Source organism: Homo sapiens, chromosome 10 (genome assembly GCF_000001405.40).
Source record: "Homo sapiens chromosome 10, GRCh38.p14 Primary Assembly".
NCBI lineage: Eukaryota > Metazoa > Chordata > Mammalia > Primates > Hominidae > Homo > Homo sapiens.
In genome coordinates, this window is record NC_000010.11 from 94,724,850 (window position 1) to 94,736,819 (window position 11,970).

An 11,970-nucleotide genomic window follows, 5' to 3' on the forward strand; every position below is an offset into this window, starting at 1 on the left:
ATTTTTATCATGATGACATTAAATCTTTAGATCAATTTAGAAATAATTGATGTCCTGACAGGTTGAATCTTTCAATTCATGGATATGATTATGCTCTTTATTTATTTGGGCTTTCTTCTATTGTGTCAGTAATGTTTTGTCTTCAGTTCAGTGGCTTTCTCATGTATTACGTTTTTTTTCTGAAATGATATTTCTATGTAATTGTAAGTTGTGTATTTAATATATAATATAAAATATATATAATATGAAATAAATATATATAATATTAAAAATATATTTTCAAAACAGAGTCTTGCTATGTTGCACAGATTGATCTTCTGGGCTCAAGCAATCCTCCACCTCTTCCTCCTGAGTAGCTGGGATTAGAGATGTGTGCCACTGCACCTGGCTTTTAAATAATATACTTTAAAAAAAATGCCTTTTCCATTTCTTTGTTTCTGGTACATGGAAATATAATTGACTTTATTATTTTGATGACCTTACATCAAGCAAATTTACTTGGCATTGCTAATTTTTTGTTTGTAAATTTATTTGTAATTTCTATGTATTCTGTGTTCTCTTTTAATATTTATTTTATTTCTTATTTTTCAATTCTTATAACTCAGTTTTCTCTTTATTGTTTTATTTCACTGGTTAGGATTTCCAGGACAGCGTTGAATAAATCATGATGGTGGGCATCCTTGTTTCATATATGATGTTCAGGATGGGTGGAGATTTAACATCTCACCAGTGAGAATGATGTTTTATGTATATTTTCATAAGTAAAAAATCAGATTAGAGAAGGTTGCCTTCTACTTTTGATGACTTTTTTTGGTCTTGAATGTGTATACAATTTGATCAAATGGAGTCTCTGCATCAATCGATATGGCCATATATTTTGTCCTGTCTATAGATATAATATATATATTAGTTAAAATACACACAAATGTGCACACAGAGACATACACAGCTGGGTTTTATTTGCTATGATTTTCAGGATGTTTGAACTTATATTTACAAGAGACATTGGTTTGCAATTTTTCTTCCTCAAAATTTTCTTGTCAGATTTCTGATATTGAGGAAATGTTGGCTTCATAAAATAAGGAAGATAATGTTCTGTATTGTGGTTGTTTTTATAATCTTTTCTCCCTTCTCTATTCTTTTTGTGCTCACTTAGTTCTGTCTTTGGAGTGACTCATAAATTTTGGTTAAGTGCCAGTTATGATGTATGAAAAAATGCAGAATGTCAGATGAGGTTCATCTTCTTCCAGAAAGGGTTCATCCCTCCCATGCTAGGCAGACAGAATTATGCAACACCTTCTACCTTCATTCAGAATTAGATATCAACACAGTCAAAAAAAATTTTTTTTCAATTTTTTTTTTATTATACTTTAAGTTCTGGGATACATGTGCAGAATGTGCAGTTTTGTTACATAGGTATACACGTGCCATGGTGGTTCGCTGCACCCATCAACCTGTCACCTACATTAGGTATTTCTCCTAATGTTATCCCTCCCCTAGCCCCAACATCCCCCACAGGCCCTGGTGTGTGATGTTACCCTCCCTGTGTCCTTATTGTTCAACTCCCACTTATAAGTGAGAACATGCGGTGTTTGGTTTTCTGATCTTGTGATAGTTTGCTGAGAATGATGGTTTCCAGCTTCATCAATGTCCCTGCAAAGGACATGAAGTCATCATTTTTTATGGTTGCATAGTATTCCATGGTGTATATGTGTCATATTTTCTTAATCTAGTCTATCATTGATGGACATTTGGGTTGGTTCCAAGTCTTTGCTATTGTGAATAGTGCCACAATAAACATACGAAACACAGTCAAAAATTGACTGTAGCCATCAAAAATTGACTGTAACCTCTCTGAGTTCCCCCATGCCTGCAAGCCTGAGTAATTTTTGTCTCAACATCTTTTCCAGTGCCTTCTAACACATGGTTTCTGTGTTTATTGAGACTTTTTAGTTGCTATTCTGCAAGCTGCTCCATTCCACTTGAAGCGAGTACATATTGCCATTATAAAGAAATAAAATAATGAAAATTTAACTTTGAGAGGAAAAAGGATTGGAGTTTGATAAGGTTGAAATCACTATTGCCATCTTATAGGGAAGAGGGAATTCTGAATGTCTGTATTGTGCCATATGGAATCCACTAGCCACAGGTACCTATTGAGCACCGGAAGTGTAATGAATGCAACTGAGGAAATGAATTTAAAATTTTATTTACTTTTCATTACTTTAAATTTAAATACAAATAGCCATGGATCATTCATGGCTACCGTGCTACAGAACACATATCTGATTGTTTAATTTTCTGTAATACAGGGTTAGAAATATCTCATTCTCAATTATGTAATATTAAAAGCCTGAGTAGTTAAAAACCATTTAAGGTGGGTGTAATTTCATTTGGCTAAACATTTACTTGCGTGGAGTGAATGTATTTATTTTCCTTATTTATCATACTTTGTATAAATATTAATGTTTTGCTAAAGAAAAGGCCAGGTGTGGAGATTCCCATTTGTAATCCCAGCTCTTTGGGAGGCCAAAGTGGAAGGATCATTTGCACCCAGGAGCTGGAGGCCAGCCTGAGCAACATAGTGAAACTCTATCTCTACAAAAAATAAAAAAATTAGCTGGGTGTAGTGGCATGTGCCTGTAGTCCCAGCTACTTGGGAGGCTGAAGTGGGAGGATTGCTGGTGTCCAAGAGGTTGACGCTGCTGTGAGCTATGGTCGTACCACTGTACTCCAGCCTGGGTGACAGAGCAAGGCCCTGTCTCAAAAAAAACAAAAAAAAAAGAGGAAAGAAAAGAAATATCATGTATTCAATTATATGGTATCTCCCCACTCTCCACATTACTGGGAGTGTTAGAAAATCTGTAGCAACTATTATGTAGCATAATATCTTTCTAGAATGAATATATGTGTGTGTAGGTATATAGTATACATATAATATATGGAAATGTGCATACATCTACATTTTAATCTATACATTTATCTGCATTTATCTATCATCTATCTACCTATGTAATCTAATCTGTCACATTTAACACCTAAGTACTTCAGTATATAATTCCCAAAAACAAGGACTTTCTCCTACATAATAATAATAACATTCACACTCAAGGAATTATTATCAATACATTAATATTATCTAATATCTTATAACTACATTTTCCCAGTTATACTAAAATATCTCTTATAGCTTTTTTTTGATGGACTTCCTGTAGTCCAGTCAAGGAACAAGCTTTTAATTTGGTTATCTTGTTTTGTTAATCCTTCTTCATCACGAACAGTTTTTTTTAGTTTGTTTCACTTTAATACACTGACAGTTTTTAAAAGTCCTGTCCCCTTGTTATGTAAAATGTTGCTCAGTCTGGTTTTGTTAGAATTTTTTTTTGACAATTAGATTCCAGTTATGTGTTTTTGGCAAGAAAGTTACATAGGTGATGTTATATACGTGCCATTGCATCATATGTGCGGTCCACATTTTGTAAGCCTGTATCTGCTAGGTCTCTCCATTGTTGGGGTTCTGTTTTTCATATGCAGTTAATAAAAAGATGGCATGGTACTTTAAGATCCTGTGAATATTACTTTCCCAAATAATTTACCCAGTAGTTTTAAAGTTAATTGATGATCCTTGCCCGAATCTATGGTCCTACCTGAATGGCTGCAAAAATGATGATTTTTCTAAATTTATCCTTCCTTCTGTGTTTTTTAGGTTGGATTCATCTCTGATGAAGAGTTCCCCCACGTGTTTTAACTAAAAGAAACATATAGCATTTCTGTGATCAACCCCTCAATAAATTTTAGTGTACTTGTTGATATCATCTCAGAAGTCATTTTTAATTAGATCAGACCTCCATTTTAAAAAACCCTATGAACAGATTCCAAATTCTCCTCACTTTTTTTTTTTTAACAAAAGTTTTATTGGAGATAGAACCACCATGTACACAGGGAAAAGAGCACAAAAATTCAACTGATACAGAACAACAACTGAAAGTCACAATTACCCAATGTAGTTTGCAATTACTTTTCAGTTTCTTAAACAGCTCCCCTCAACTTGTTTTTTTAACAGTCTTGCTAATTTTTCAGCTGAAACAGCATCAAGTTTTCCAAAAATTAAGAGCCTCGGGAGGGGACCCGCTTTCAAGATACTGAAGGTGACATCAAGAGTCTCCTCCTAACAGGACCAACTCTATCTAAAAGTTGCTTACGAGTAACTTGAATCTTGTGTAATAGTCTGCATCTCACAGACCATCATGGATGAGTTAGAACACTGTTGTTGATGGTCCAGTATGAAGAGAGGGCAACCAAATAGCTGTATTCGCTTGTCAGCTGAGCTCATATAAAGAAGTCAGTGAGGAGCTGAGAAAATATAGGCAATGGCTGCTCAATAAGAATTTTAAGTTCCGAATACCACATATAGGTAGACACCAGTGTGCAAGTTGATGCAACTAGAAAGAAACAGATGACTTTTTAAAATACCTGGCCACAGGTCTTTGAGAACTCAAGAAAATAATCAACAGTAGACACAAGAGTCAAAAATCTTCTCAGGTTGAAGATTAGGACATGGGTAATCTTCCTAACAGCTCCAACAGGCAAGGAAATATGCTGTGGCAAAAAGCATTAAGTAGTTCTGATTTTTAAAAAACAAAAACAAAATTTTCTGCTTCTCCTCCCTTCAAAGCTTCAAGGAAATAGAAACAAGGAAACAAAACAAAAACAAAAAAAACCAGTGATGGTAAAGAGAAGCCTTTTGCTTGAATTATCAATTCGAAAAACAGTAATTTTGCCATTTTGTATATATAAACAATCTTGGGACATTCTTCTGAAAACTAGGTGTCCAGTGGCTAAGAGAACTCAATTTCAAGCACTTCTGAAAGGAACACCAGCATGACCCAGAATCTCAAATTCCCAAACAGGGGCTGCGTGGGAAAAATGAGGGAGGACTTTTGTATCTAGGGTTTTAGCAAGTTAAAATGAAGATGACAGGAAAGGCTTATTTATCAACAAAGAGAAGAGTTGGGATGCTTCTAAAAAAACTTTGGTAGAGAAAATAGGAATGCTAAATCCTAGGAAGCCTGTAACAATCTACAACTGGTCCAAGTTGAAGACAAAACTGTCCAAACAACATTTAAATCTAAAGTATGTTGAAAACTAGTTGAGAAGTTTTTGCTCCTGTAACAATTTACAAAACACGTTCATTTTGGTCTCTTTTGCAGTTTTCTTATTGTATTCATTTTTAATATAAAGAGTTGGATTTTTCTCTTCTATGATGTTCCTCTAGTACAACTGATCATTAATTTTCTATTTTAGCTATTTTTATAAGTACTTGTTAATCAGCACAGTTAACTTGGGGCTAAGTCATATATACACATCCCATACTCATAAATGAAAATTTTTAGGATGTGAATATACAAGATATTATGTAAGCAACTGTCCCCCTACTTGAAAACTTGTTTCCAAATAATGTTTTTTAAAAACATCCCTTTCAGTGTAACAGAACATTACCTAGTAAAATATCAATAGCTATGACAATTCATTTCTCTTTTCAAGGGAAATCACAAAACAGGTGAACAACCAAGTCAAGGGTGGTTTTTCTGTTTGATAAATACATCCAGAACTCTGTACAGTAAATAAAGTTTGCATGCAGTTTAAGTATCTTTAAATGACATTTTAAGTAAATAAACCTTTTGCTTCATAATTAGTGGTGTATAAGAACCCTCCCCACTTTTTAATAGCCACAGGGATCTCTTTCCCAGTTCCAAAGAGGAATTAATGAAGACCAGGTATGTTTAGAGGCTTCTATTTAAAAACTGTCTTCTGGAAGTCCTAGCCAGAGCAATCAGGCAAGAGGAAGAAAGAAAACGTATTCAAATAGGAAAAGAATAAATCGAAATATCTCTCTTCACTGATGATATGATTCTACACCTAGAAAACTCTGAAGACTCTTCCAAAAGGGCCTCTGGAAGGGATAAATGACCAGTAAAGTTTCAGGATACAAAATAAATGCACAAAAATCAATAGCATTTTTGTATATCAATAATGTTCAAGCTGAGAGCCAAATCAAGAACGCAATCCCATTTACAATAGCCACAAAATATTAAATCCCTAGGAATACATCTAACCAAGGAAGTGAAAGATCTCTTTAAGGAAAACTGCAAAACACTACTGAAAGAAATCATAGATGACAAAAACAAATGGAAAAGCATTCCATTCTCATGGATTGGAAGAATCAATACTGTTAAAATGGCCATACTGGGCCAGGTGCGGTGGCTCATGCCCATAATCCCAGCACTTTGGGAGGCCAAGGCCAGCGGATCACAAGGTCATGAGATCAAGAACATCCTGGCTAACATGGTGAAACCCCATCTCTACTAAAAATACAAAAAGTTAGCCAGGCAAGGTGGCAAGTGCCTGTAGTCCCAGCTACTTGGGAGGCTGAGGCAGGAGAATGGCGTGAACCCGGAAGGTGGAGCTTGCAGTGAGCAGAGATCACACTATTGTACTCCAGGCTGGGTGACAGAGTGAGACTCTGTCTCAAAAAAAAAATAAAATAAAAAAATAAAGGCCATACTGCCCAAAGCAATCTACTGATTCAATGCTATTCCTATCCGACTACCAGTGTCTCTTCTAAAATTTATATGGAAACAAAAAAGCCTGAATAGCCAAAACAAACCTAAGCAAAAAGAACAAAGCTGGAGTCGTCACGCTACCAGACTTCAAACTATGCTATAAGGCTACAGTAACCAAAATAGCGTAGTACTGGTACAAAAACAGACACACAGACCAATGGAACAGAATAGAGAACCCAGAAATAAAGCAGCATACCTACAGCCATCTAATCTTAAACAATGCTGACAAAAAACAGGCAATGGGAAAAGACTCCCTATTCAATAAATGATGCTGGGATGGCAGGCTAGCCATATGCAGAATGAAACTGGACCCCATCCTTTCACCATATATAAATATGCACTCAAGATGGATTAAAGTTTTAAATGTAAGACATCAAACTATAAGAATTGCAAAAGAAATACCTAGGAAACACCATCCTGGGCATTGGCCTTGGGAAAGAATTCATGACTAAGTCCTCAAAAGCAATCACAATGAAAAAAAATTGATATGTTACTTAAAATTGATAATTTAGTTACAAATTAAACTAAAGAGCTTCTGCATAACAAAAGTAACTATTAACAAAGTAAACAGACAACCTACAGAATGGGAGGAAATATTTGCAAACTATGCATCTGACAAAGGTCTAATATCCTATAAGGTAATTAAACAATTGAACAAACAGAAAACAAATAATGCCATTAAAAAGTAAAATACATGAACAGACACTGCTCAAAAGACATACAAGTGGCCAATAAACATATGAAAAAATGTTTCACATCACTAAACATCAGAGAAATGCAAATCAAAACCAAAATGGGATACCATCTCACATCAGTCAGAATGGCTATGATTAAGAAGTCAAAAAACAATGCATGATGGCAAGGCTGTGGAGAAAAGGGAACACTTATAGGCTCTTGGTGGGAATGTAAATTAGTCCAGCTACTGTGGAAAGCAGTTTGGAGGTTTCTCAAAGAACTTAAAAGAGAACTACAATTTGATCCAGCAATCCCATTACTGGATATATTTCCAAAAGAAAATAAATCATTCTACTAAAAAGACATGTGAACTTGTATATTCATTACAACACTATTCACAATGGCAAAGGATTGGAATCATCCCAAATGCCCATCCACAGTGGACTGGATAAAGAAAAGGTGGTACAAATACACCAGGAAACCCTATGCAGCCATAAAAAAGAATGAAATCTTGTCCTTTGTAGCAACATAGATGCAGCTGGAGTGAATTAACGCAGGAACAGAAAACCAAATATTGTACGTTCTCACAAGGAGGAGTTAAACATCAGTACTCATGGACATAAAGATGGCAACAATAGGCACTGGGGACTACTAGATGGGGGCTGAAGGGGAGGAAGGGTTGAAAAACTACCTGTTGGATACTGTGCTCTCTACTCGGGTGATGGAATTATTTGTACCCTAAACCTCAGCATCACACAATATACCCATGTAACAGTCCTGCAAACAACAACAAAAAAGGTAATCCATGTGTGAGGTGTGTGAAAACTGAAGTGATGAAATACAGCAGCAAGTGGGGATGTACACCAGGGTCCAAGCTTGATGATAAACCGGGATTCAGAAGGCTGCCCCCGAGTACTCAAATGCTCAGGACTTCAAGTGCAATTAATTGGAGGGGACTTCAGCAAAGTCACTGCCACTTGCCTTAAAGTCATACTGCTTCTTACTAGGTCTGTCTGGGTGGGAATGTAACTTCTTTGGACCTCAATTTTCTTATCTATTGATAAAAGAGATTGGACTAGGTGATTTCCATCACTTCTTCCCACTCTTTGACTTCTTTATAACTTAGTTTGTCTGTTTTGCTATTTTCAGGGCACGACCATAATAACATCCCTGACTTCTGTGCTGCACAATGACAAAGAATTCCCCAACCCAGAGATGTTTGACCCTGGCCACTTTCTGGATAAGAGTGGCAACTTTAAGAAAAGTGACTACTTCATGCCTTTCTCAGCAGGTAATAGATATTCATTTCCATCTGTCCTTCAGGGCACATGATACCTTTTTGGGATCAGTTGACTCTTACATGATGCCACCTCTGAGGTTTGGCTGAATTGCTTTGCAGATCATTAGCACCATTCCCTATGCCCATGCGATTTCCCTGCTGATGAACATCCCCATTATTGGGCCAGGTTAGTGGGGCTTTGGGGAGTTGATCCAGTTTTTCAAACTGAAAAAGCTAGAATGTAGGTTAATTTAATTCTGCCTCTAGATACATCACTGAGCTACCCAAGAGCTCTTCTTAATGGGTGAAACTTATTTAGACATTTCTCATCTGCCATGAGAAAAGTATCTAATTCCACAACTTTGAATATCTTCCCTGTGGTGTCCCTAGCTCCCTAGACTGAGCTCTGGAGATACAAGTATCTGAGAGCAGAGAATGGGCTCTTAAGAGGCTCACTCCTGATTTAGAGAAGTAGACAAGTAAACAGATCATTGTAATCTAGTAGGAGGAAGGCTGCCAGAGGGGAAAGCGCAGGATGTTGGGGAGCTCAGTGGGGGAATCTGCCTGCTTCCTGCTCATTCATAGGCCATACCACTTCCAAGAGGAAGGAAACTTAAGCTGCCTCATTGCAGCAGGAAACAGGACAAGAAGAGAAGGCAAGGCACTTTTACAGAGGTAATGGACCATAGTAGCAGGACATTTTCTGTAGATCTAGGGGGTCAGAACCTACCAACAAATTTCAGGGTCAGGAAAACCCTGGGAATGTGGAAGGATAGTCTGCAATAATTCCAGAGCACCTTGATCTCCCTCCACTCATGATCATACATCTTGGATATTCAATCTCTACAGCTAAAGTGTGTGGTGAGTCTGTGGACATAGAGTTCCCTTCATTTTTTCCTCTGGCTTTTGATCCCTGCTTTGGATCTGGCACTGTATACACTGAGATGTCAAGAACTAAGGCCTTCTTTTAAGGATTTCACGTTTTAGCAAGATAGAAAAGTAAATACACAGATAATAGAATTCCCGGTGATCTATGCTCCAGTGGAAGCATGAATATGATGAGGAAACCTAGAGAGGGTGAGTTTCTATTGACTAGGGATCACAGAAATCATAAAGAGGAAATGACATGGGGCATAGCTTCTGAAGGAAGCATAGGAGTAGAGCTTTTTAGGCAGATGTGACAGCAAGAGATAAAGCTTGAAACTTTGTGGTGTGTTGGAAATTGATGAAGAATGGATATGCCTAGAGCTGAGAGTGGAGGAGATGAAGAATGGAAGGAGTGATATAGAACATCAGACTGGGAACAGAATGTGAAGAGTCAGGTCAAGCCATTTGGCCTTTATCCCATAGGACAGATGGGTGTTGTTTAAAGTTGTAAAATGAGAGACTGACATGTTTAGACATGTACTTTTGAAAGTACACTAGGAAAAAAAATCTTTGGCTAAACATTGTGCCAGAAGTACAAAGGGGAACACACTATATGAGCCTTCTCTTTTCAGCCCATCTTCCCTGTGAATGCATTTCTAGAAAAAGACTGATGGAAACTTGTAGTGTCAAAAGAGCAGTTATAACGTGGGAACACTTAGTGAAGTGCATGGCATAGAGCTGATACTCCATAAATATTTGTTGAGTGAAGGGTGCCTAGTAAAATAAGATATTAAGTAGATAGGAAGTGTATTCATTTTTGTTTTTCTGTGTATCCAGCCATCCTTCCAGTCATTCTGCCTTCGATCCATCCATCTATTTAATCATTTATCAAATAGTTACTGCATACTCTTTGTGACTGTTCATGACCTAATGTTCAAGGAACAAATCCCCTATGTCTCTTATTTTCAGGAAAACGGATGTGTATGGGAGAGGGCCTGGCCCGCATGGAGCTGTTTTTATTCCTGACCACCATTTTGCAGAACTTTAACCTGAAATCTCAGGTTGACCCAAAGGATATTGACATCACCCCCATTGCCAATGCATTTGGTCGTGTGCCACCCTTGTACCAGCTCTGCTTCATTCCTGTCTGAAGAAGGGCAGATAGTTTGGCTGCTCCTGTGCTGTCACCTGCAATTCTCCCTTATCAGGGCCATTGGCCTCTCCCTTCTCTCTGTGAGGGATATTTTCTCTGACTTGTCAATCCACATCTTCCCATTCCCTCAAGATCCAATGAACATCCAACCTCCATTAAAGAGAGTTTCTTGGGTCACTTCCTAAATATATCTGCTATTCTCCATACTCTGTATCACTTGTATTGACCACCACATATGCTAATACCTATCTACTGCTGAGTTGTCAGTATGTTATCACTAGAAAACAAAGAAAAATGATTAATAAATGACAATTCAGAGCCATTTATTCTCTGCATGCTCTAGATAAAAATGATTATTATTTACTGGGTCAGTTCTTAGATTTCTTTCTTTTGAGTAAAATGAAAGTAAGAAATGAAAGAAAATAGAATGTGAAGAGGCTGTGCTGGCCCTCATAGTGTTAAGCACAAAAAGGGAGAAAGGTAAGAGGGTAGGAAAGCTGTTTTAGCTAAATGCCACCTAGAGTTATTGGAGGTCTGAATTTGGAAAAAAAAACTATGTCCAGGAGCAGCTGTAACCTGTAGGGAAATACTGGAACAATCATCCATAAGAGGGATGAACATTAAGTGTTTGAATTCATGCTCTGCTTTTGTGTTACTGTAAACACAAGATCAAGATTTGGATAATCTTTTTCCTTTGTGTTTCCAACTTAGATCATGTCTAAATATATGCTTTCATATGGCTAATCATGTGTTAATGACTGTTATTTTTCTCTTCCAAACAAGAGCAAAATCTCCAGAAATCCTCACCAGGCTTTATTTTTTTTCTATTTTGCACTGCATACTTTTATTTTACTGAACATAAATGCAATGGTAATTAGATGCTATGATCCTGAAATTATTAGCCTTATGTCAACTCTAAAGCTTAAACAAGTGAACAAATCATACACATCAAATTCTAGTCATCTTTTTTCCTTCCTTCTGTCTTGAAGTGTATGAAATGAGAAGTGACACATTAACCTTTTCCCAGCTCATCTCCAAGAGAAAGTCCTTTATACTTATCATGCATTTGTAAGATAACTCATGTGTATAGTTTTATAAACACACACGCACATATGTCTGCATAGGTGTATATTTACATATAATATATACACATGTATATATGAGATTGATAGTGGTTCTTTAATATAATGAGTTCATATTACACATATTATTATATTATACAACTTGCTCTTTTTTTTAACTTTTATTTTAGGAGGTACACATGCAGGTTTGTTATATAGGTAAACTCATGTCACGGGTTTTTTGTACAGATTATGTCATCACCCAGGTACTAAGCCTAGTACTCAATAGTGATTTTTTTTTGCTCCTCTCCC

At 36.7% G+C, this 11,970-nt stretch overlaps 1 protein-coding gene across 2 annotated transcripts in view; it reads left to right on the forward strand.

Moving 5' to 3' along the window:
• CYP2C18 (cytochrome P450 family 2 subfamily C member 18) overlaps positions 1-11,341 on the forward strand; it is a 52,462-nt gene extending 41,121 nt beyond the window's left edge. For both annotated transcript variants that reach the window (NM_000772.3, NM_001128925.2), the window contains 2 exons: positions 8,448-8,589; positions 10,414-11,341. In NM_000772.3, the coding sequence (NP_000763.1) occupies positions 8,448-8,589; positions 10,414-10,595 (324 nt within the window). In that variant the 3' untranslated portion in view covers positions 10,596-11,341. The remainder of the gene's footprint in view (positions 1-8,447; positions 8,590-10,413) is intronic.